The following is a 26,393-nucleotide window of genomic DNA, read 5'->3' on the forward strand; positions in this document are numbered from 1 at the left end:
AAGGCAAACCAGAGACACCGCCCTAGAGCTTGTGATCTGGCCAGGAGGAATTATACAATAAATTAATTACAATTCCAATAAGCCATTAAAAAAAAAAAAGCACAGGGCATATGATGACATTTGAAGGGGAACCCGAGCCAGTCTGGGGATCGGGAGCATCTTGTCTGAGAGTGACCTTTGGGTGGAGATCCACAGGAAGGGGACGTTTAAGGCTGGGCTGGGGGAGTGCAGGGGAGAATGTTCAAAGTGGAGGTGACTGGATGGGCAAAGGCTTGAGCAAGGGCAAGCTTGAGGAGTCAAAGAACAAGAGAGGAAACCAGGGTGGGTACAGTACCAAGGGAAGCAAAGCGAGTTGGGCTGGAGTGGGTCAGGGCCAGGCCATGTGGGGCCTCGCAGGCCTCATGAAGGACTATGAGAATGATGTGTTCTTCGTTTTTTTGAGACAGAGTCTCACTCTGTTCCCCAGGCTGGAGTGCAGTGGCGCGATCTCGGCTCACTGCAATCTCCGCCTCCCAGGTTCAAGCAATTCTCTGCCTCAGCCTCCCGAGTAACTGGGATTACAGGTGCCTGCCACCATGCCCGGCTAATTTTTGTATTTTTTTTAAAAAATTTTGTATTTTTAGTAGAGATGGGGTTTCACCATTTTGGCCAGGTTGATCTTGAACTCCTGACCTCGTGATCCACCCACCTCGGCCTCCCAAAGTGCTGGGATTACAGACATGAGTGAGCCACTGTGCCCGGCCAGGACTGTGAGAATATCTTTCCAAGATCCCTCTGACCCAGTGTGAGGATGGTAGGGGTGTGAGAATATAAAGGACAAAAGATGGCCAGGCGCAGTGGCTCATACCTGTAATCTCAGAGCCTTGGGAGGCTGGGGCAGGCAGATCACCTGAGTTCAGGAGTTTGAGCCAGCCTGGCCAACATGGTAAAACTCCCATCTCTACCACAAATACAAAAATTAGCTGGGTGTGGTGGTGCGTGCCTGTAATCCCAACAACTACTTGGGAGGCTGAGGCACGAGAATCGCTTGAACCTGGGAGGGGGAGGTTGTAGGGAGCCGAGATCGTGCCATTGGACTATAGCCTGGGCAACAGAGCAAGACTCCACCTCAAAAAAAAAAAAAAAAAAAAGACTCTTACCCGCTCAGACATCCAGCATAGATTCCCCTTGAGGAGCAAATGTTGAAGACAGGCCTTTTGAGAGTGGAAGAGGCAAGAAATTTCCCTTAGGTCCCACCCCATGCACCTGGAGTGCAGTCACATCTGTGGTGCACATTTGCTCACCTTCTAAGTGACTCACTCACTGTTAAGGGTAGTGATGTCTGAATTGGCAGGCCTGAAGGTTTTTCTTTAGTGTAATCATTGCTCAATTACCTTCACCATCTGTGCTGGAAATGATTGTGATGACTTTGTGTGATGAAACCCAGAGGTGCCCAGTATTCCTGGGTGTCCTTTCCCACCCTTTATTACAGCAGAGGCATCAGAGTTCAAGAGGCCAGGTTCTCACTTGCGTCAACACACTGCTGCCAGGAAGGCGAGGCGGGGCGGAAGTGAGGTGTGAGTAGGATCTGTGAAGACCACTTGGGCATTCAGGATGATGCAGACAGCAAGTTGGAGAGGAAAGCCAGAAGATGAAACGCTCAAAGCAAGGGCCAAGTTGGCAAGTGGGCTAGGATACAGACCAGAAGCCGAGAGGGGTTAGAGGAAAAAAATGGGGCATTTCTAGGGAGATCACATGGACAGAAGGAAGAGGTTTAGCTACAGACAGAAACAGGCAGAGTGCTAGGACTGCCTCAGCACAGTATCACATCTGCAGGGTATTAACCTTTTGCAAAATTAAGATGCTGGCCAATTCATTCAGTAATTCTTCCAACAAATATTTAGTGAGATGCCAGGTTATTCTGCCTTGGGGACACAAATATATACAAAACAGTCACAGTCCCTGACTTTAAAAAATTTAGTGGCAAACCATCAGGCAAACATGGAATACAAAACACAGGAATAAGAGTCAGTATAGGACTGAACCAGCAGTAAGGGAGCACAGAAGTGGGAAACCTCCCACCACTGGCAGGTCAGAAAGACTTCCAGGAAGCTACATCTAAACCAGACCTGAAAAATGAATGTGAATTAGCCATTGGATGGGGGCGGGGATGGGTTGAGGTGAAGGTCACAGTCCATTTAAAGGCGAGCAGCAGTGAAGGATGGGGCTCTAGGTAGCCAGAGCTGTACCACGAAGGGCTTGGCAAGCCATGCTAGAGTCTATGTCCCATCCCGAGGGCAATCCACAGCTAGATCACAAACTCCACGATAACCAGCGTCTCCCCAGCAACCACACAATGCTTGACACATCATAGCTCAATACTTGATAGCTAACGACCGAATGCATAGAGGGACAGCAATGAGGTGCTGTGGAAGGATCTTCACAATTTTTAATTCCTAAAATTGAAATGTCTACTAATTATACAGTCTTTGGCTTCACATTAAGACTAATGTGCAACTGCTGGTCATGCTATCGAGGTCACTAAAAGAACTGTTCAACTGGACGCGGTGGCTCATGCCTGTAATCCCAGCACTTTGGGAAGCCGAGACAGGTGGATCACGAGGTCAGGAGTTTGAGACCAGACTGGCCAACATGGCGAAACCCCATCTCTACTAAAAATACATAAATTAGCTGGGCGTGGTGGTGCATGCCTGTAATCCCAGCTACTTGGGAGGCTGAGGCAGGAGAATTGCTTGAACCTGGGAGGCAGAGGTTGCAGCAGTGAGCCGCAATCGTGCCACTGCACTCCAGCCTGGGCAACAGAGTGAGACTCCATCTCAAAAAGAAAAAAAAAAAAAGAGTTGTTCAAAATATAAGAGCAGTTCTTTGCCTGTTTTGAGGAGAGTACTAGAAAGGGCAAGTGAGACAGAAGAATGTGGAAGGGAAACCCTGATGACTGCACCTTTTAGCCCATGGCTGGCATTCTCTTCCTCTGCTGAGAGAGATCAAATAAAAGTTGTGCAGGACAAAAATACAAAAATTAGCCAGGCATGTTGGTGCATGCCTCTAATCCCAGCTACTTGGGAGGCTGAGGTAGGAGGATCGCTTGAACCCGGGAGGCAGAGGTTGCAGCGAGCCGAGATCACACCACTGCACTCCAGCCTGGGCAACAGCTAGACTCTGTCTCAAAAAAAAAAAAGTTGTGCAGGACAACATTTGCTGGTTTTTGATTTATTATTAAATTCCTCATCAGGGAGCTCTTCCATCCCAGCTAATTCACTGAGTAAGGTAATCACCCTTTGTATTTAAGATGATGTTACAGACTGTGATTAAAAGTCATGTGGCTGAAAAAGGACAGGATGATCAACCTGGCAGACAAAGCTCCACAGCTCTCTCGTGTTTCTGTGCATCTTGTGAGAGAGGCACTCAGTGTTCTTTGTTCCAGTCTATCTTCTCCAAGATGTCTGCAGGGCGAACAGCCTTAAAAAGGAGACAGCATCTACCTCTGGAGCAAAGGGCAAGCATGCTCACTGCCCATTATCAAAGTCTAGAGTTTCCCAAACTCAGCACTCCTCTCCTGTACGGCAACCAGTCATATTGCATCACGAGACATGGTAATGCACATTCACTGTATGTGAACGTAGGCATTCCTTCTGTGCCCATTATGTGCCCTTGGGACTTGGAGGCAGAGAAACTGATGCAAATACACTGAAGTTTATACTGCTTGCTGGGCCATGGGTCATAAAATCCTTTGTCTCTGACCCAGGAGTCTCCTTTCTGCCAGCATCCATGAAAAGCGGGAGAGGCTAAGCTGTTAGCTTACAAGTAGGGTAAGATCTCAGACCCTTCACAATGCTTGGCACACCCTTCTTAGAAATAGCTTAGTTTCACATCTCAACATTCTTGGTCATTCCCAATGAATTTACCTAACCAATGTGGATTCTTATGCTGCTGGCTATAATATAGTAACTGTTTTTAAAAGACCACAAATCTAAAAGCCTCCTTGATACACTTCCCCAACAGATTATCTTCCAAAGGCATAATAGTCCTAAGATACAGTACTTGTAACGGGATAGGAGAAATCCAAATAAAGAAAACAAAACATAAACTGAATGCAGTAGAAATCATTTGAGACAGAAGCCAGTTTTATAAAACATAAATAATCATTTATACTCCATGATTAGCAATGGATCCTGTCTGAAGTAAACAAGGACAATTAATACAGTACAAGATATTTGTGGTTTTGTTTTTTATAACCCACTAAGCCAAGATTTGTATCTCTGTATGGAACTGATTTTCAAATGGACAGAAATGGTCTTTGATCTTTCTGAACCACTTGTCTTCAAATTCTTCTGAGGATACAGTCACCAAGGCAGTCAGGGCTACGGAGCCAACACACTTCACCTCTGGGTGAACTTCATCTTTTATTTTTTCTGGGATATCTTCTCCCATAACCTATAACAGGAGGAAAAAAAAAAACTGTCCCAATAAAAGAGGCAGAGACATGGAATGCTAGTTATCAACTGCGAAGGCTTTCATTCAAAGGCAGAAAATACTTGAGCAGCCAGGGGACATTCCCAACACATTGAAAAGATGTTTGTTCAGAAGTAGTTATCCGTCTATGGCCATACCACCCTGACTGTGCCCGATCTTATCTGATCTCAGAAGTAGTTATCCAAGGACAAATAAAATATCCCATATTTCTACCCTCATTCTCCCCAAGTGAAAGAATCACTTTGGTGCTGCTGCAGCAGCAGTACTATTTGGCTTACCAGGAGTACTGAGTTACCCTTTTTGTTTCAAAGAGCATATTCTGTTGGTGAGAATGCAACTGTAGCATGTAGCTGGGCCCACCTTTTCCTGACCCAAAAGGACTCTAATCCCTCTATAACCAAAGCAATCTTGGGGATTTAAGGAGCCCGTTACCAATGAAGGTACAATACTGCTCCCTACTGGTCAGAATCAGGCCCAGATGAACACAGGGTCATGTCCCAAGATTCTGGGTTAGTTTCTTTGAGAAGACATCACAAAGTTAGGTTGTAGAAAGCTTGTACCTGAACCCACTAAGTAAGCAGACTGACCTTGGGTAATGACAATGAACTAAAATTAAGTTCCAAAACATTTCATACCATCTGTCACGAAAGCTTATGTAGTCATGGAGCAGGGATGTTGTAGAGGGAATTTAAGTTCCACATAGATTTGCATTAGATAATCTCCAAGGTTCCTGCAAACCCGGATATTGAATGTGTTCATGAAAACTCAAATTATAATGAATTAGAAGCAGGCTCAAATAATGGTTTTGCGGACTGGGTTTAAATCTTCAAAGATTACATATTGTTTGAGGAAATTGCCAGTGAGAGCCAAGCTTCACTAGGCAACAGTCAGTATTTACTAAAGCCTGGTATTTCACCAGTTCTAAGATACTTTTTTGTTTTTGTATTTTAACATCTCTAAAATCAAGATGTATCTGAGCCAGGTGTGGTGGTTCACATCTGTAACACCAACACTTCGGAAGGCCGAGGCAGGATGGTCGCTTAAGGCCAGGAGTTAGAGAACGGCCAGGGCAACAGAGCAAGATCCCCGTCCCTACAAAAAAAAGTATCATTTTTTTGAGTCAGAGTCTCGCTCTGTAGCCCAGGATGGAGTACAGTGGTGCGATCTTGGCTCACTGTGACCTCTGTCTCCTGGGTTCAAGCAATTCTCCCACCTCAGCCTCCAAAGTAGCTGGGACTACAGGCAAGTGCCACCATGCCCAGCTAATTTTTGTATTTTTAGTAGAAACAGGGTTTCATCATGTTGGCCAGGCTGGTCTTGAGTTCCTGACCTCAACTGATCCACCCGCCTTTGCCTCCCAAAGTGCTGGGATTATAGATGTGAATGAACCACTGTGCCCGGCCAAAAAATTGTTTAAAAATCAGCCGGGTATGGCAGCACTCAACTATAGTCCCAGCAACTACTTGGGAGGCGGAGGTGGGAAGATGCCGTGAGCCCAGGAGTTGGAGGCTGCAGTGAGCTATGACTGTGCCACTGCACTTCAGCCTGGGAGATAGAGTGAGACCCCACCTCCAAAAAAAATTTTAAAAAATGTATTTGATAACCACTGGAGTGAGGCTCTATGTGATAGTGTAAATGGCATCTTATTTTTCTTTTTTTTGGGGGGCGGGGGGTCAGAGTCTCACTCTGTCGCCCAGACTGGAGTGCAGTGGTGCAATCTTGGCTCACTGCAACCTCTGCCTCCTGGATCGAAGCTATTCTCCTGCCTCAGCCTCCCAAGTAGCTGGGATTACAGGCGTGCGCCACCAGGCCTGGCTAATTTTTGTATTTTTAGTAGAGACAGGGTTTCACCGTGTTACCCAGGATGGTCTTGATCTGACCTCGTGATCCACCCGCTTCGGCCTCCCAAAGTGCTGGGATTACGGGCGTGCGCCACCGCGCCCGGCAGGCATCTTATTTTTCTTTTAGTGACACATCAAATGATATGTCTTAAAACTGATGATTTCCTGGATTCAGTGAAATGTAGTATTTTAAAATCTGGGATAAAACACCAAAAATGCCTTTCTTAAAAAAAGATAAATGAATAATAGTAAGACCCAAACAACACACTATTCCCAAAAGAGGGACAGATAGGCACAATATTTACAGGTGTCAAAAATCTGCCAAAACATTCAGCCACATAAACATTTTAAACTTCCATATGCCAAAAAAAATCATAAACTTCAGAAAATATAGTAACTATAGAAAGATACTTAAGTCTAATATAGGGAGAACTCTTAAAATTGCTATGAAAAACAGAAAGAATAATGAAGCAAAAGCAAGACTAGGCATTTGACATGATACAAATGGCCAATAACACATGAAAAAATTGTTCATCTTAATAGTAAATAAACATTAATGCTAAAAACATTACATTTTTATCTACCAAGCTACCAATTTTTAAAGTAATATTATTAAGTTAAATTATATAAAACAGAGGTCAAAATGATTGATTTCACATGGTTCAATCTAATAGTCAGGATCAGGGTAGAAAAAACAATGCTTTCACATATTGCTAGAGGATATATAAATTGAACTAACCTTTCTAAATGATAATTTGGAAATGTGCTTTAAGTCTTTAAAAATGCTCATATATTTAAATCCAGCGATTCTATTTCTAATAATCTGTTCCAAAAGGTACAAAGGCACATATTGATTTTCTTGCAAGGATTTATTAAAATAGGTACTGAGTATTTGTTAAATGTTCAACACAGGGAACTAAGTAAATTATAGTTTGTCCAAAAATTGACTATCCAGTCATTAAAAATTATGTACTCAAATAATATTTAGGATATAGGGTCATGCCCATGTCATAATGTTAGGTAAATATCAGAACATAGAAAATAAAATGTACAGTTTGGTAGTTCCTAAAAAAGTTAAACAGAGCTAATATATGACCCAGTAATTCTACTCCTAGGTATATACCCAAAAGAATTAAAAACAGAGACTTAGCCGGGTGCAGTGGCTCATGCCTGTAATCCCAGCACTTTGGGAGGCCGAGGCAGGCAGATCACTTGAGATCAGGAGTTCGAGACCAGCCTGGCCAATATGGTGAAAGCCCTTCTCTACTAAAAACATAAAAATTAGCTGGGCATGGTGGCACACGCCTGTAGTCCCACCTACTTGGGAGGCTGAGACAGGAGAATTGCTTGAACCTGGAAGGCAGAGGCTGCAGTGAGCCGAGATAGTGCCACTGTACTCCTGCCTGGGTGACAGAGCAAGACTCCGTCTCAAACAAAAAAAACAAACAAAAAAGGAGACTTAAACATACTTATATGCTAATGTTCATAGCAGCATTATTCACAATATCCAAAAGGTAGAAACAACTCAAGTATCCATCAAAAGATGAGTAGATAAACAAAATGAGATATGTACATATATATGAATATTATTTAGCCATAGAAGGTATGAAGTTTTGATAAATGCTAAATATGGATAAACCTTGAAAACATTATGCTAAGTGAAATAAAGCAGACACAAAAGGACACATATGGCATGATTCCACTTATTTGAAATATCTAGAATAGATAAATTCACAGAGAAAAATAGTAGATTAGAGGTTCTAGTGGGTAGAGAGAGAAGAAAATAGGGAGTTATTGCTTAATGGGTAGAGTTTCTGTTTGGGGTGATGAAAAAATTTTGGAAATAATGGTCATGGCGGCACAACACTGTATACGTACTTAATACCATTGAATTGTACATTTAACAATGATTAAGATGGCAAATTTAAGTTACATATTTTATCAGAGTAAAAAAGAAAGAGGGAGAAGAGCAGTTGTTATAGAATAAAAAAGACATGAGACAAAAGGGCCACATATAGTATTTAGACCTTATTTGGATCCTAATTCAAATAAAAGAATTACAAACAGGAAAAAAAAGCATGTGATCATAGAATATTTAAGGATACAGGGCTATGTTATTACAAGTCAACTAAAATTAAAAGCACAAAATAAAGGCCAGGCATGGTGGCTCACATCTATAATCCTAGCACTTAGGGAGGCCAAGGCGGGACGATCATTTGAGGCCAGGAGTTTGGGACCAGACTGGGCAACATAGCAAGACCCTGCCTCTACAAAAAATTTTAAAATTAGCTGGACATGGTGGTGGGTGCCTGTAATCCTACGAACTTGGGAGGCTGAGGTGAAAGGACCACTTGAGCCTAGGAATTTCAGGCTGCAGTGAGCTAAGATTATGCACTGCAGCCTAGCCTGAGTAACAGAATGAGACCTTTTAAAAAATAAAAATAAGCACAAAACAAAATGTACATTATAATCCTAATTACAATCCTAACGAGGGCCCAGACATTTTCCATCTTTTTAAAAAGCTCCACTGGTATATCACATGCATTGTCTACACAGGAAACTACTCTTCCACCCAACCAACAGATTTATCGAGCATGGTGAAGAATACAAAGATGCTCAAAACATACTATTACTTATAAGGAACCTAGTATCTAGTTGAAAACATAAGATACATTCTTATGTCTTCTTAGGGCCCAAAGAGCTATCTATTCAAGCAATCACTATCTGAGCTCAGAGGAAGGAGAAATGACCACAGAGCAGAATATTCCGGAAAAGCTTCCTGGAGGATGTGGAACTTGGGAGAATTAAAAGACTGATCAGAAGTGTTTTTTTGTGTTTTGTTTTTTGAGATGGAGTCTCCCTCTGTTGCCCAGGCTGTAGTGCAGTGACACAATCTCGGCTCACTGCAACCTCCACCTCCCGGGTTCAAGCAATTCTCCCGCCTTAGCCTCCCGAGTAGCTGGGATTACAGGTGCCTGCCACCTCAACCGGCTAGTTTTTTGTATTTTTAGTAGAGATGGGGTTTCACCATGTTGGCCAGGCTGGTCTTGAGCTCCTGACCTCAAGTGATCCACCCACCTTGGCCTCCCAAAGTGCTGAGATTACAGGAAGTGTTCTGATGAGTAGTTCCATTTTAGACATTTTGTACTTGAAGTGACAGAAGAGTAATCAATAATTATCCCAGGTTAACCACCTAGTAGGCAATTAATCTGATGTGAGACACATGTCCCAGAGATGAGACTAGAGATAAAGACTGGAGAGTAATCAACCCAGAGGTGACAATGGAACCTAGGGGTGTGGTGATGATTTCTGTGACAGAAAAGTAGAAAACAGAGAGGCCAAGGGAATCTTTAGCATGCCATTACTTACGCTACAGAAGAAACCAGCTGAGTCCCAAGAGGCAGAGGAACGTTAAGAAACACAGGAGAAAAACAAACCAGTGTAGCCTCTCAGAAGTAAAAGGAAGAGATCAGGCATGGTGGCCCAGGCCTGTAATCCCAGCACTTTGGGAGGCCGAGGTGGGTAGATTGCTTGAGGCCAGGAGTTCAAGACAGACTGGCCAACATGGTGAACCCTGTCTCTACTAAAAATACAAAAATTAGCAGGGCGTGGTGGCACATGCCTGTGATCCCAGCTACTCGGGAGGCTGAGACATGAGAATCGCTTGAACCCAAGAGGTAGAGGTTGCAGTGAGCCGAGATCGTGCCACTGCACTCCAGCCTGGGAGACAAAGCAAGACTCTGTCTCAAAAAAAAAAAAAAGTTAATGAAGGTTTACATGTTAGTTTAAAAAAAATTACCTTTGAATTTCTATGCAACCATCAAAGTAGTAACAGGGTAGAGCAGGAATAAAATGGACTTGCAGCTGGCAAACACAAGCTCCAGACCAGCTCTCCCACTGAAAATCTGACCGCAGGCAAGTCACAAGTTCTCTGAGCCTCAATTCTAGCTCTACTCAACTTCACAAGCTGTTATGATGAATGGAGGAAAAAAAATAGAACTGCTACACAAATGTAAGCATTCATTCATTCATTTATTCAGCACTGAAACAAACAATTATTGGGCATTGATGATGTTCAGGCAGGCAGGTGCTAACAAGCACTGACAAGTACATGAAACACAGCCCCTGCGGTCCCGCACGCTGCAGGGGAATGCCGATCAAGAGGCCGCCTTGGTGATTGCTGAGTGATCAAAAGGCACACAGAGGAGGGAGACAAGTCCTTCAGTAGATTAAATTTGGCCCTGCTTTATAAAAAATGCTATCAGAGCCAGGGAAAATATCTATGATGCTTCGTTTCACATAAACCCGAGGGATACACTCACCTCAGCTATCAACAGCAAAGTGTCTTCTTTGAAGCTGAACCCTTTCATTTTATCTTCAATTTCCTGCTGAGTCCTTAAGTTCCTCTCCAAAGCAAACGATGTTTGCTGAGGTTGGGTAAACTGAAGCAGAAGCCTGAAAAACCGAAAAGTCTCAATGCGTGGCGAAAAGTCCCAACGCTTCCAGATAAAGGAAAGCCGCGAGGAAATGTTCAGAAAGCCCAGGTATTGAGTCGGCTGCAAGTCCCACCAGGTTAAAAAGCAGGTACCCACCCTCACTAGAACTATCATTTCAATCCCTAAAGCTTCCGACTTGGAATCAATTGCCCAACTTTACATTGGAGATTCATCTTTTCTAAAATATAAAGACTAAAACTGCTCAAAGAAATCTTCAGAGAGCAACACCTGAAAAGAGCTTCCGGCCTCAAAAGAGCTTCCTGTGGAAGTCAAGGGATTGAAAGGATAAGTAATTTGGAGTGAAAGGAACGAGCCTCCCAATCAGACTCCTCTCACACAGGCCCTCTGGATTTGCTCCTTTGAAGTCAGTGTTCTGTGACCCTTCCATCTCGCTGACCCCACAGCAACTTGACCGCAAGGACTAATTAGATTCGCTAGCACACTTCAATTACCCCAAGCAGGGCCAAATCTTTGATGACCCTCTGACAACCACTCTGCGATACCTTACCACTGACTTCCCTGTCATGATCATAGCTGGTCTCCTCTCTCATTTAACTTCCTCCTGTCTTCCTCATTTGGCTCCTTTTTTTTTTTTTTTTTAATAAATACTCAATATGCAGATTTTCCCCTTTTTTCTCACTGGTACCTACTGCAATGCCCAGAAGCACTGGCTCTCCATGCTGTGGAACATGCCCAACACTACGCTAGGCAATGAGAGATACTGATGAGCAAAACACACTTGTGGCCTCATGGAATGAATGGAAGGAGGGAGATAGCACATAAGTATTTCAGGTAGTGACAAGTGCTATGGAAAAAAACCCAAGACAGGGTGGACACAGTAACCTCTTCAGATGCGGCGGTATAGGCAGGAAGGCTTCCTTGAGATACCAGGCAAGCTACGAGCTACCTGATGAGGAACCAGTGGGAGAACATCTGGTGGCGAGGGCTTGGCCAGGGAGAAGGGGGCTCTGACACAGGAACAAATTTGATATGCTTGAAAATCACTAAGATCACTGTGGCTGGAACACAGTCAGAGAGAAAAATGTGTAGTAAATGAGGTGGGAAAAAAAAGCAGGGCCAATTCAAATCAGACCTTGCAGGCCATGGAAAGAAATGCGGAATTGACGTAAGTGCAATGGGAAGCCATCCGGGCGTTTCAGAAAGGAGCCTGACCTGACTCACAGGTAAAATGATCATCTGTCTGCTTCAGTCTGACCTGTTGACATCACCTACCCGGCCTCGGGAAGCATTCACCTTCGTTACCCCTTTGATGTAACTTGCTTTCTGCCCTCTGGATATACTCCAGGCACCCGCGACTCGGTACTTCAAGCCTAAAATCATTGCCTTCCACCCCAAATCGGCTCTGCTCATCCTCCCAGATGTCCTATCTCAGCGGAAGGCACCACCATCCACCTGTGCATCCTCGAGAGACTCTGCAGAGACTCTTCCGGTCTCCTCACCCTCAACCTTCCCACACACTCCGCTGGTCACCAAGTCCTGTCTATTCTATCGTGCAGTGACATCCATTTCTTTTTTTTATTACCACTGTACCAGCCTAGGTCAGGCCCTCATCATCTTCCACTAATTACTCTACAACCTCTAGTCCTTAGCTCCTCCTTCTAATCCAGCATCGCAGTCACCAGAGCTCTCTAAATCACAGGTTTTGGCCAGGCGCGGTGGCTCACGCCTGTAATCCCAGCACTTTGGGAGGCCGAGGCCAGTGGATCACCTGAGGTCGGGAATTCGAGACAGCCTGACCAACATGGAGAAATCCCATCTCTACTAAAAACACAAAATTAGCCTGGCATGGTGGTGCATGCCTGTAATCCCAGCTACTCGGGAGGCTGAGGCAGGAGAATTGCTTGAACCTGAGAAGCAGAGGTTGCGGTGAGCCGAGATCGCGCCATTGCACTCCCACCTGGGCAACAAGAGTGAAACTCCGTCTCAAAAAAAAAAACACCAAAACCCAAAACACACACACACACACAGGTCTTATCACATGCTCCTGTATTTAAAACCTGCAAATACTCTTCAGGCCTTCGGCACAAAGACCAAACCCTTGTGACACCAAACATCTTGTGTTAACAATAAAAACAACAAAAATAAAAGTACTAATCTAACATTTACCAAATGCCTACTACATACCATGCAGGACAATAAGTACTTTAAATACTTTAATTCTACAACCCCAGGAAGCAGGCATTTTCCCCATTTCTCCATCTGTCAAGATTAAGCAACTAGAGAGCAGAGTTTAAGGAATGTGTGCAAGGTCAGACCGCTTGCAAGAGTTCAGGTTCATCCACTTAGCATCAGCAATTGACTAAGTTCTTCAAAACCAGTTCTGACGCCAAAGTCCTACTTCCTACTTCCTCTGCCACCCTGGCACTGTGGCCACAGCCTACCTTGAGCCCTTACCACCAATGCTGCTCTTACCACCAGACAATGTGACAACACTGTTCTAGAACGGATCCTCTGCCCCTCTGGGCGGTGCCTTCTTTTTACCTAGCATGCCTCTTCCCACGTGGGGAATATTAACGTGGAGTGAGCAAGATAAGCTGAAAGAATACAGGGTCTGGAATCAGAGACCAGCTCCAAATCCTGGCCCTGCACTTCACAGTTGCACCACTTTGGGAATGATTTTAATAGTTTCCTGATCCATCTAGTGGGATCCCAATAGGTATCCCAGAGTCATGAGGATTAAAATGAAATAATGTATACAAAGCATCTAGCACTCAGTCAACTGACAAGGGTTCCTACAGGGACCATTCAGCAGAGGCATCATCCCCTCTGTAAAGGCTTCCTTCTTTTGGCCACGCCAACAGCTCCCTGACGTTGGTCACAGCACTGATATACTATTTAGCACCTGTGCTGGCAGTTACAGGCTAGACATACCATTTCTCTGAGTGAGTGAGGGGCATAAGGGACTGCTTTTTAAATGATCTTTGTGATCCTAGCACCAAGCACATGTCTGGCACACGGTTGTCATTCAATGTGCCTCTGAATTAGTGACATGGTCAATCTAAACAAGCATCCACTGAATACATTTTAAAATTTGCCAAATAGCTGGGAACGGTAGCTCACTCCTGTAATCCCAGCACTCTGGGAAGCCGAGGCGGGTGGATCACCTGAGGTCAGGAGTTCGAGACCAGCCTGGCCAACATGGTGAAACCCTGTCTCTACTAAAAATACAAAAATTAGCCGGGTGTGGTGGTGCACAGCTGTAATCCCAGCTACTCAGGAGGCTGAGGCAGGGGAATTGCTTGAACCTGGAGACAGACGTTGCAGTGAGCGGAGATCACACCACTGCACTCCAGCCTGGGCAATAAGAGCAACTCCGTCTCAAAAAAAAAATAATAATAATAAAATAAAATTTGCCAAATAGATACCACTTCTCAGTAAGCCTCACTGTTAATATTTCTTGAATCCTCCTGAGTTAAAAAATCTGTATATTCTTTGGTACCATTTGAAACATGAGAGAGTCTGCTTCTTCTCTCATCATTTATAGAACTGGTCAAGTGTATTCTCCCTACCCTTCCCTCAAACTCATACTTTAAAGATAAAAAGTACTTGGTATCCCTAGGCACAAACCATGGGAATTCTCTGTAGAATGAATTAAGCATCATCTACTCCCATTATCAGCAATTCAAATACAAGAGCTAATTTTCTTCTTTAGTAGATTTCTGTGGAATATACGAACAGAAAATTCCTTCTTTAAAATATGTCTTCTCCCTTTTTCAGTGTTTTATACATTTTTATTTTCCTAATTTTTTAATGTTTTCTAATCTTAACATTCCATCTTGGACAATGACACAGGTTATATTCCTTTTTGTTTCTGAGAGTTTCATTCTGTTGCCTAGGCTGGAGTGCTGTGGTGTGATCTCAGCTCACTGCAGCCTTGGCCTCCCAGGCTCAAGCAATCATTCCATCTCAGCCTCCTGAGTAACTGGGACTACAGGCACGCACCACCATGCCTGGTCAACTCTTTTTTTTTTTTTTGAGACGGAGTCTTGCCCTGTCGCCAGGCTGGAGTGCAGTGGCACGATCTCAGCTCACTGCAACCTCCGCCTCCCGGGTTCAGCGATTCCCCTGCCTCAGCCTCCTGAGTAGCTGGGACTACAGGCACGTGCCACCATGCCCAGCTAATTTTTTGTATTTTAGTAGAGACAGGGTTTCACCATGTTGGCCAGGCTGGTCTCGATCTTCTGACCTTGTGATCCACCCACCTCACCCTCCCAAAGTGCTGGGATTACAGGCGTGAGCCACCGCGCCCGGCCCGCATAGTTAACTTTTCAAAAAAAAATTTTTGTAGAAATGGGATTTCACCATGTTGCTCAGGCTGGTCTCAAATTCGTGAGCTCAAACGATCCACCTGCCTCAGCCTCCCAAAATGCTGGGATTACAGGTATGTGCTACCACACCAGCTAACACAGGTTGTATTCTTAAACAAATGTAGTTTTGTTTCCAAGTATTACACACTAGAATGACAAACGTTCAACACAACCATAGGAAAATTTCAAAAATATATACCAAATGTCTAGCCTAGAACTTTTTGAAGCTTAAAATTAGAAAATAAAGCCTTTACTCTGAGCTGATTACCAAGCGTTGCTTAAGTGACTCTCAGCTTACCTGGTTCGTATAAAAGAGGCACATGCTTTCAGCTGAGTCTCTATCAACACTGTTTCTCTCTTTTCTGCCATACAGTTTTGGATATTTGTCAGAGCTTTCTCATTTTTCTGGCTATTACTGCTATTCGCTTCCACAGAAAATAAAGAGCTCTCAGGCAAGGTTTCAGGAAAACACAAAAGACAGTCTTTTCCTGAGTGTGGAAAGAAGGATTTGATAGTTTTGTCACTTGAGGTGAAACTGTGCTGTTTCTGAGATGACGCAAGTGCTGCTGAAAGAGCTGGCCCCAGATTCAGGTAAGCCTCTGCCAATTTGCCCCAGTTCCAAGGATTAAAAGGATGCAAAGAAATCAGTTTCTGCAGGCAGAAAATTGTTTTCTCCAAGTTCTGCAAACTTGAACAAATAGCAAGCTGGAGGTAGAGTACCGTGGTTAAATGGTCTGTGTTGGTTGCTTTATTTTCCTAAGGAGAAAAAAAAAAGGTTAAGAAGTTTAAACTTCAAAGCATTTTCCATATAAAATGAGAATGCCTAAAAAACCAAGTTGTATATGTTATAAATTAGAAGTATCTTTCAGTAGCTATACGAGTGACCTAAATATATTTCAATATATCTCATGTTTGAAACCGTAAACCCAGAGAGATATATGCTACCTAGAGAAAGAGTCACCAGCCATTCCCAAACATCCTAATGTCATAATAACTTAACAATTCCTAGATGGTGGCCTGCCAAATGTTCAGCATCAAAAACATAAATATCCATTTATTTCCAATTTTTATTATAATCTTTACTGTCTTCAGCCAGGTATCTGAAAGACCCAGCCACTTTTCTTAGATCCTGGCCTAATGATTCCATTGTAATATTCAAGGCTTTCTAAAAATCCAAATGGTAATTTCCTTGAGGATTTGAACAAACTCCACTTCCAAATTTTATTTGGCTTAGACATTTTAAACAGGATAGCCCTGAAGCTCTCCATGCTTCATGACGCATTCTAATTGAATCCAAATGCCTTCCCTGGTAACCATTACCAAGGTCAATTATAATTTTTGGCCAAAAGGGGTTGCTTAGTTTCCTTTTGATCAGAAAATCCTTTTCAAATCTCCTTAACCAGCGCCAACATCTCTTGCCTAACTTGCCATATGGCAAATGTCCTCTGGGTTAGTAAAAACAGGCCTGCTTTTTGTAAGTTGAAGTTTGCGGAGAGCAGATGGCAGACTCAAATTACCTTCAAGTTGATGTGAGGTCTAAGGAAAGCCTGGCCTGCAAGCGTCCAGATCAGGCTCCCTCACAGAACCACACTGAGCATGAAACATGAGCAAAACTACCTGGTGTACGGCCCCAGGAAACTGTACACCAGCAAGTGAAGGCCTGCGGGCAGCTCTAAATATTCCCACATTGAGTGAAAAGATAGGAGATAAAGCCCCATACGACTGATTTGCTGACACTGTACCTTCCCAAAGACAGAACACATCTCGTTTTATTGTTACTATTGTTCAGCATCTGTCCTTCCCAACAGACCATTTAGCTCCATAAGAGCTTTTGTTCAATGTAAATTCCTAGTACAGAGCACAGCTCCTCGGCCATCACAGATGTTAAATCACGTTTGAGTAATGACTTTTCTAAAGTCAAATCATGTCATTTATAAGGAAAACAACATGTATAGACTACATCTGTAACAAATGCTACCCTTCTTCTGTAACCAGTCTATAGGGCTTTATATTGTTCAAAAACTTTTTTTTTTTTTGAGACAGAGTTTCGCTCTCGTCGCCCAGGCTGGAGTGCAATGGTGCGATCTCAGCTCACCGCAACCTCTGCCTCCCTGGTTCAAGCAATCCTCCTGCCTCAGCCTCCGGAGTAGCTGGGATGACGGGTGCCTGCCACCACACCCAGCTAATTTTTGCATAAAGTAAAGACAGGGTTTTGCCATGTTGGCCAGGCTGGTCTCGAACTCCTGACCTCAAGTGATCCACCCCCTTCGGCCTCTGAAAGTGCTGGGCTTACAGGCATGAACCACTGTGCCCAGCCTCAAAAACATTTTGATATTGATAAAGCAAGTGTGTGTTAGGGTGGAGGCTGTTACTCACAAACTATGATCCTGATGACAGGGTTTTGTTTGTTTGAGATGGAGTCTCATTCTTTTGCCCAGGCTGGAGTGCAGTGGCGTGATCTCGACTCACTGCAATCTCCACCTCCCAGGTTCAAGCAGTCCTCCCACCTCAACCTCCCAAGTAGCTGGGACTACAGGTGCCCACCACCACACCAAGAGAGTTTTTAAAATTGTTATTAGGGATGCGGTTTCACCATGTTGGCCAGGCTGGTCTTGAACTCCTGACCTTCGCCCACCTCGGCCTCCCAAAGTGCTGGGAATACAGGCATGAGCCACTGCGCCCTGTCAATAGTAGGGTTTTGAGAGGTGGATTAGTAAACTCCTTCTGGAAATTAAATTCTATTTAGGCCGGGCGTGGTGGCTCACATCTGTAATCCCAGCACTTTGGGAGGCCAAGGCGGGCGGATCATGAGTTCAGGAGATCGAGACCATCCTGGCTAACATGGCGAAACCCCATCTCTACTAAAAATACAAAAAATTAGCTAGGTGTGGTGGCGGGCACCTGTAGTCCTAGCTACTCAGGAGGTTGAGGCAGGAGAATGGCATGAACCCGGGAGGCAGAGCTTGCAGTGAGCCAAGATCATGCCACTGCACTCCAGCCTGGGCAACAGAACGAGACTTCATCTCAAAAAAAAAAAAAAAATCTATTTAAATGAGTGAGTGATTTTTCCAGAATACTGCAACTCTTTCTGTAACAATAACATGATGATGACAGTTAACATTTACTGAGTGTTTACGCAGTGCCAGGCACTATTCTAAGTGTTTTCCTCATTTAATCCTCCTGACAGTGCTTTAAAATAGATTCAGTAATTTTCCTTATGTTACAGATAAGGCAACTGGGTCACAGAGAGGTTAGATAACTTGCCTGCCATAACGTGGCTGGTAAGCAGGAGAGCTACAGTCAGTTATACTAAAAGTCAAGGAATAAAAGGTACTTACGAAGAGCTGATATGGCCAGGCAAGGTGGCTCACCCCTGTAATCTCAGCACTTTGGGAAGCCGAGGTGGGCAGATCACTTGAGGTCAGGAGTTCAAGATCAGCCTGGCCAACATGGTGAAACCCTGTCTCTATTAAAAATACAAAAAAGGCTGGGCGCATTGGCTCATCCCTATAATCCTAGTACTTCGGGAGGCTGAGGCGGGTGGACTGCCTGAGCTCAGGAGTTCGAGACCAGACTGGACAACATGATGAAACCCCGTCTCTACTAAAATACAAAAAATTAGCCAGATGTGGTGGCGGGCACCTCTAATCCCAGCTACTTGGGTGGCTGAGACAGGTGAATCGCTTGAACCCAGGAGGCGGAGGTTGCAGTGAGCCAAGATCGCGCCACTGCACTCCAGCCTGGGCGACAGTGCGAGACTCCATCTAAAAAACAAAAAAACAAAAACAAAAACAAAAAAACAAAAAAAAATGTAGCCAGGTGTGGTGACACATGCCTATAATCCCAGCTACTTGGGTGGCTGAGACAGGTGAATTGCTTGAACCTGGGAGGAGGAGGCTGCAGTGAGCCAAGATCGCACCACTGCACTCCAGCCTGGGCAACAGAGCAAGACTCCATCTCAAAAAGAAAAAAAGAGCTGATGTATATGTGCGCTGGCTAAACCGACCAGACACTAGATGAGCACTGCATGTACACGATATATTGTTTGTCTCCTTAGCATCGAACCCAGAACCAGGAAAATAGTAGGACTGAAATGTTTGTTGAGTGCTGAGTGGATAAATGAAAAGGAGTCACTTACTACCAGAAAGCCATTTTCTTACCACAGTTACCACACAGGAATACCAACCACTATAAGAAAATGTTGTAATTATTTAAGAAATAAGTCCTACTATAAATTTTATCCAAAAATCATGAAAAGAGGTGAATGAATTTCAGCAGAAATTGTGAACAGAAAATGTTCGAATCTTGATGGCCACCCCGGGACTTGCTGTCTATTTTGTTCAATGTTACATACTGCGACAGGTCCCCCTACAGAATGTGAAAAGACAGTAACCACCGTCACAAAAAAACAGATATGGGCCAGAGCTAGTAACAAAAGGCGAGGGTCCTCAGGTAGAGAAGAAATTTTAAAAAACAAAACAAAACACAGCTTACCAGGAAATGAGAATGCCGTGCAGACACGCAAGGTCCGCTGAGATCATGTGTGAAGCCGACAGAAAGGGGCGAACCCCACGAGCCCGCTTTCCACCTGACAGTCCTGCCCAACAGGTTGCCAGGACGCCTGATGCACAGTTCTGAAAGTCCAGGGTTTTCTGACTGGTGTTTCTCCTGCCTAGTAACCATCCCCAGCACCGGAGACCTGGCATCGGCTGATTGGCAACAGATCCTTCTCTGAGCCACCGAAACAGATTCCCTAAGCTAGAAGGAACCAGAGATGACCCAACCCCTGCCAGGAATCCAGCTGCCACTACCTTCAACAATCAAAGAGGAGGAGGAGGAAGCACAACAGTGACGTGCAAGAAACGCCGAGCGAGCAGGACAGTAGTAAAGGCTACAGAAAGGCACCGGAAGGGCCAAGAGCACTGTTAATTTGCGGACTGGGGAAGACTAGAAATGAACACAATGAAATCCCATCAAGTTAACTGCTCATGCAAACGCTTAGGAAGTCGATTTATCTATCTTTCAGCTTAAGCACTAACCCCCAATTAGTAGAGAACAGAAAAGAAAGAACAAAACACAGCTGTTTTCCATGTTCTTAGAACAATTACTGCCAAAGTTTCCTCGAATTGCAAGAGGCTGAGGTCCTATGCAGTGAAGGCTTAAGCAAACAAAGGTTAGGGATTTCTCTTAGTTAATGAGATGGCAGATGTCAGCTCAATTGTGTGCATACGTTAGGCTGATCTGATCGCTGGGCGGTACATCCACAAAGCTCAAAATCGGTGCCACAGTGTCTCCTTAATTTCCTCCGAGGAAGAAAACTAGTCCATTTAGACTAATTCCCATATAAAATTTACACAACAATCAATACAAATAATGCCTTAACCTAGAAACAAAAGCAATAAAATCTAGAACTGGAAAGAACTACCTTTCTTTATCCCTTAAAAAAAAATTCCGCTTTAGAATGTGTGGAAAAAGGCAATAAAATTTTTTTTTAAAGAAAAAGAAGGCCGGGTGCAGTGGCTCACGCCTATAATCCCAGCACTTTGGGAGGCCGAGGCGGGCGGATCACAAGGTCAGTTTGAGACCAGCCTGACCAACATGGTGAAACCTCGTCTCTACTAAAAATACAAAAATTAGCTGGGCGTGGTGGTGCATGCCTGTAATCCTAGCTACTCAGGAGGCTGAGGCAGGAGAATCGTTTGAATCCGGGAGGCGGAGGTTGCGGCAAGCCGGGATCACTCCACTGCACTCCAGCCTGGGTGACAGAGTGAGACTCTGTCTCAAAAAAAAAAAAAAAGAAAGAAAAATTCCCTTTTTCTTCAGCGAGGCTGCCGAGCTCCAGATGCAGAGATGCAGATCTTTGTGAAGACCCTCACAGGCAAGACCATCACCCTTGAGATCGAGCCCAGCAACGCCAAAATTCAGGACAAGGAGGGCATCCCACCTGACCAGCAGCGTCTGATACTTGCGGGCAAACAGCTGGAGGATGGCCGCACTCTCTCAGACTACAACATCCAGAAGGAGTCCACCCTGCACCTGGTGCTGCGCCTGCGAGGTGGCATTACTGAGCCTTCCCTCCGCCAGCTCGCCCAGAAATACAACTACAACAAGATGATCTGCCGCAAGTGCTGTGCCCGCCTGCACCACCCCGTGCTGTCAACTCCCGCAAGAAGCGCGGCCACACCAACAACCTGTACCCCAAGACGAAGGACAAAGAAGGCTCTTCCTTCCCCAAAGAGCGGCGTCCTGCCCAGGCCTCATGGCCCTGGGGCCTCAATAAAGTGTCATAAAGTGTCCCTTTCGTTGACTGGGGAAAAGGAAAAAGAAAAAAAAATTCTGCAAATTCCACTTAAAAATAAAAAGGACTACTAAGTGTGGCTTGGTAATGAGTATTTAGTCATTTTGGGGGGGGGACCTTTTTTGGCTTAGAAAAATACTGTTCATTGTAGAAATTTTGGAGAACAACGTCTAAAAACAATCTAACGAAGAAAACAGATCACTCATAGTCCTTCCACACTGAATGTTACTCCTAACAAGAGAAAAACCTCTGCAAAGGAGATTTTCAGGCAATACAGAATTTTGAGCATGACACAAGAAAAATATTACAAGAAAATGATTATGTCTAGGTTCCAAGTTGTTCATCATAATAAAACTCTCACACCCCTGACAATTTTCTTCTGCTTATCCAAACCCATAGATTTTGCTACTAGCAAGAAGTTTGTTTTGTTTTCAAAAAATACACCATTCGACCACCCTTATAGGAATGTGTGTGAAAATAAGCAATAAAATCACTCACCAAGTTTGCAGCAATCTCCAGCGCCTCCATATGCCTACCCAGGTGAGCCAGACACCGAGCCTGACCTTCCTGGACATCCCTTTTCATGGCAAAATTGGTTGATGACAATTTTTCAGAGATACTGGAATACTCCTGCAGTGCTTTCTGGAAATTATTTGTTAAATAAAGAAATGAAAGGAGGAAAACATAACAGAAAAAAGGATTCAGAATAGGGGTGATTTTTTTTCCTAGGTGGAAAGTAATGTTATAACTGACCAATGAATTACATGAATATTTAAATGAATTAAAGAAGATTTCACTATTCTAGTGATATGGTTTAGCTGTGTCCCCACCCAAATCTCATCTTAAATTGCAGCTCCCATAACCCCCACATGTTGTGGGAGGGACCTGGTGGGAGGTAACTGAATCATGGGGGTGGGTTTTTCCCATGCTATTCTCATGGTAGTTAGTCTCAGGAGATCTGATAGTTTCATAAAAGGCAGTTCCCCTGCACACACTCTCTTTGCCTGCCGCCATGTAAGACGTGACTTTGCTCCTCCTTCACCTTCTGCCATGATTGTGAGGCCTCCCCAGCCATGTAGAACTGTGAGTCCATTAAACCTTTTTTTTTTTAAATAAATTATCTAGTCTTGGGTATTTCTTCATGGCAGTATGGAAATGGACTAATACATCTAGTCAATCCTACTTTCCTAAAAGGTAGAGAAGGAATGGCTAGAGAATATAATCACTACTACTATGGAAAGCATCATGATATAGCAGAAAGAACATTCTGGGACCAAATATACTAGGCTTTGAATTCTGGTATTGCCACTAACTTACTTTATAACCTTTTCATCAGCAAAATAAAAACAGGATTCTCATGCAGATGAAATGAGATACATATGTAACGCAATCTAACATCTAGTTGTTAGTTCTTTTTCTTATACATTTTGGGGTGATTTGCTCCTGTGGCACTGTGAAATGTCTGTGCTAGAGGGTCCTAAGTAATGAGGAGATTCAGAACCTTGAGGAATAAACCTACAAGGACAAGGACCCCAAAGAGATCCTTTTGTTGGAGTTACAGAAAACAAACAAATCATACAGAGCCAAGCAGAAAAGAACGGAAACTTGGGAGCCTCAGATTATAAACACACATCACAAAAGATTAAACTCATCTTCATAAACACCACACTAACTTGGTACACTGTTATTTACATATGCCATAACTGATAAAACAAGAGCCCACTTCAAGCACCATATGTTGAATTCTACCTGATACTCTTGTCGTCTGTAGGCCAGGTCTCCTTTGAATTTCTTGAGAGTCAGCACTTCAACATCATCACTGCTTTCTGTTTCTTCATAAAACCACTTGAAATCATGAAAATAGCCTATTACAGAGTGAGCTATGCTTTTCCACCTCATATTCAGAAGCAATTTCCCATAATATAATTGATTAAACGTCAAAAAAAGACTTCTTCAAGAGTCTGGCCAGGTTAGTCTTGAACTCCTGAGCACAAGTGATCCTGCCTCTGCCCACCTTGGCCTCCCAAAGTGCTGGGATTACAGGTGTGAGCCACCGCACCCAGCCCACATTGGTTCTTTAAAATGAGACATGCTTTCTTGTAGATAAACTTTAGTGTGACTGGAATAGGGATTGACAATTCTTTACTGAAAGGACATAGGAAAGAAGAATTATAGATATGGTGCTATTATGAAAATGTCATAATGGCAAAAAACTAGAATTTCAGCAAAGGAGACAGAAATTAAGGCTAGAAGGAGGCTCCAATGCAACCAAATACCAAAAACCTGTAGGAGAGAAGTCTGAGGAAATGCCCATCTAGGATACTTTATTTGCTTTTCTACTGATTTAAATCCTATGGATAAAAAGGAAAGTGAGACTGAGATTGCTTGACTATTGAATAAATAACGTAGGGAAAGGCAGTGGCTTACACCTGTAATCCCAGCAATTTGGGAGGCCGAGGCGGGCAGATCACTTGAGGTTAGGAGTTTGAGACCAGCCTGGCTAACAACAGTAGAGAAACCCTGTCTCTACTAAAAATACAAAATTAGGCCGGCATGGTGGCACACGTCTGTAATCCCAGCTAGCTGGGAGGCTGAGGCAGGAGAATCGCTTTAACCCGGGAGGTGGAGGTTGGGGTGACCCGAGATCGCGCCACTGCACTCCAGCATGGGCAACAAACTCCACCTCAAAAAAAAAAAAAAGAAAAGAAAAAAATCACTTCATTTTAGAATTTATATTAAATTCTATGCACCTGTACAGCACATCAGATCTGACAAAGTATTTTCATATACATTATCTCATTTCACTCCCACGATAACTCTGTGAGCCAGCATGTATTATTTTTCTGAAGGGACAAATAAGGAGCTGACACCTTCAAGGCAAGTGGTTAAAGCCAACACTGGAATTCAAGAGTCCTATCTCATAACCAGAGTTTTTTTAATGTTCTGCCACATGATTTCCAAGCCCAATCCCTGTTTTGAGTCTACATGATCCAGGGCTGAAGGTAACTTTGAAAGATCGTATGTGATAAGGAGAAAATGCAACTGAAATAACCAAAAACACAATTCAGTAATTATCGAGTGCCTGGCATCTTGTCAGTACAATTGTGAGGAACGAATGAGACAGTATATGCGAAGGAACCCACCACAGTGCCCGGAACACTTCCGTATTTTCCATAAATATTAGTTTTGACTGATGAACTATTTACACTCATGAAAGAATAGGAAGTAATACTCTACTAATTCAAAAATATTCGCGGAGTCACTATTATTAATAAAAACTGTTAGGCACTGCCAAGGGCATCAAGAACCCATGCTGGTGCGATCATTTAGCACTCCGGGTCTCAGGACTTTGTGGGAATACTGACAAGTGCTTTAAGTAGAAGCTAAATAGAGGGAAGGGGGCCAAAGACAAAAATATTTGGCTGGAAGACGAAATCAGAAAAGACTTCCTAGAGGAGATGACATTTAAGATGTGCCTTGAAAAACGGATATAACTGAAGGACTTTAACCATCAGCGCGGGGTTGGTACGGGCAGGGGGAGCTCGCCGAAGAGGGAGGGGAGAGTGGGTTTGCCGGAGGTCACCGTTTTGGGAGGCCTGACTGCCCAGCTGTAAGAGCAGTGAAGACAAACGGGAGGTACCGGAGATTGCAGGGCAGGGGCGTTGAGACCAGCCGGCAGCAGCCAGGCCGGCCAAATGCCAAGTGGGAGTCAAGCCGCTTACAACGCGGGGATTCTCGCCCATGGACCCGGAATGGGGCCTGGGAAAGCCGCTTCCCCGTGGAGGAGGAGGGACGGCGGGGGACGCGGCGGGCGCTGGAGCCTGCCAGGGTTTGCGTTCGCGCGGACGGAGGGGCCGAGGCCGGGGCCGGGGCCCCGCGGAGGGCGAGGCCTGGGGCCCGGGATAAGGCGAAGAGGCCCCAGCTTCTCACCTGCGGCTCGCAGAGCTTGGCGCAGTAGGACGCGGGCGGTCCTGACCGCCGCTCCGGCCTCTCCTCGAACACCGAGTCCTCGAACTCGCCGCCGAACAACCAGCACCCGGAATCCATCTCGCGCCCGCGGCGGGGGCAACGAGGAAGCGGGGCCCGCCGGAAAAGGCGGGGCTTCCACGGCCCAGAGCGCGGCACGCTGGGACTTGTAGTCTTTGAGGGCGACGCGGGGACGTGGCCGCTGCTGGTTGGGAGTAGTGGTTGAGCTGAGATGATTATCTGACCCACTAACTGACCGAACCCCAGGACGGAGGTTTTGACTTCTCTGTGTCAGGAGATGGACAGAATGATCCTTACCTGCACGCATCAAAAAGCACGCTGGCCCCAGAGTAGCTGTTTAAAACTCGCAGGTACCTTTTTAAAAATTAAAATAAGAGGCCGGGCGCGGTGGCTCAAGCCTGTAATCCCAGCACTTTGGGAGGCCAAGGTGGGCGGATCACTTGAGGTCGGGAGTTCGAGACCAGCCTGACCAACATTGAGTAACCAGGTCTGTACTGAAAATACAAAAATTAGCCGGCCGTAGTGGCGCGCGCCTGTAATCCCAGCTACTCGGTAGGCTGAGGCAGGAGAATCGCTTGAACCCGGGAGGCGGAGGTTGCGGTGAGCCAAGATCGCATCATTGCACTCCAGCCTAGGCAACAAGAGTGAAACTTCGTCTCAAAATAAAAAATAAAATAAAATAAAATAAATAAAATAATTTCGAGACAGGGTCTCGCTCTGTCGCCCAGGTTGGAGTGCAGTGGTGAGATCATGGCTCACTGCAGCCTCGAACTCCCAGACTCAACCTATCATCCCGCCTCAGTCCCCCAAGTAGCTGGGGCTACAGGCGCGCGCCACCATGACCGTCTAACTTGTGTATTTTTTGTGGAGACTGGGTTTCCCTACGTTGCCCAGGCTGGTCTCGAACCTGATCTCAAGCGATCCGCCCACCTCGTTCTCCCAAAGTGCTGGGATTATAGGCGTGAGCCAC

General features: G+C 44.6%; 2 protein-coding genes and 1 pseudogene across 2 annotated transcripts in view, besides 2 other annotated features; 1 reads left to right on the forward strand and 2 right to left on the reverse strand.

The window, feature by feature from the left end:
• Positions 1 to 4,103: 4,103 nt before the first annotated feature.
• Positions 4,104 to 25,514, reverse strand: C8orf76 (chromosome 8 open reading frame 76). The gene is made up of 6 exons (NM_032847.3): positions 25,367 to 25,514; positions 23,186 to 23,281; positions 21,935 to 22,078; positions 15,437 to 15,894; positions 10,637 to 10,769; positions 4,104 to 4,434 (listed from the first exon to the last, which is right to left on the reverse strand). The coding sequence occupies exons 1-6, from the start codon at positions 25,481 to 25,483 to the stop codon at positions 4,240 to 4,242; spliced, it is 1,143 nt and encodes a 380-aa protein (NP_116236.1). The 5' UTR covers positions 25,484 to 25,514; the 3' UTR covers positions 4,104 to 4,239.
• The window catches only part of ZHX1-C8orf76 (ZHX1-C8orf76 readthrough), a 48,096-nt gene continuing 32,030 nt past the window's right edge, over positions 10,328 to 26,393 (reverse strand). The window contains exons 3-6 of the mRNA NM_001204180.2: positions 23,186 to 23,281; positions 21,935 to 22,078; positions 15,437 to 15,894; positions 10,328 to 10,769 (exon numbers count right to left, since the gene is read on the reverse strand). Of these exons, the coding sequence (NP_001191109.1) occupies positions 10,610 to 10,769; positions 15,437 to 15,894; positions 21,935 to 22,078; positions 23,186 to 23,281 (858 nt within the window). The 3' untranslated portion in view covers positions 10,328 to 10,609. The remainder of the gene's footprint in view (positions 10,770 to 15,436; positions 15,895 to 21,934; positions 22,079 to 23,185; positions 23,282 to 26,393) is intronic.
• UBA52P5 (ubiquitin A-52 residue ribosomal protein fusion product 1 pseudogene 5) lies at positions 20,950 to 21,449 on the forward strand (annotated as a pseudogene).
• Positions 25,300 to 25,800: an enhancer, noted in NCBI's record as "H3K27ac hESC enhancer chr8:124253403-124253903 (GRCh37/hg19 assembly coordinates)". NCBI's record gives its function as "activates a minimal SCP1, AML or CMV promoter by ChIP-STARR-seq in primed H9 embryonic stem cells {active_cell/tissue: H9 hESC(primed)}" and the evidence as "EXISTENCE:reporter gene assay evidence [ECO:0000049][PMID:30033119]".
• Positions 25,301 to 25,420: a silencer, noted in NCBI's record as "silent region_19495". NCBI's record gives its function as "represses an Ori minimal core promoter by ATAC-STARR-seq in GM12878 lymphoblastoid cells {active_cell/tissue: GM12878}" and the evidence as "EXISTENCE:reporter gene assay evidence [ECO:0000049][PMID:35858748]".

The sequence above is a fragment of the Homo sapiens genome, chromosome 8, assembly GCF_000001405.40.
Source record: "Homo sapiens chromosome 8, GRCh38.p14 Primary Assembly".
Taxonomy (NCBI): Eukaryota; Metazoa; Chordata; class Mammalia; order Primates; family Hominidae; genus Homo; species Homo sapiens.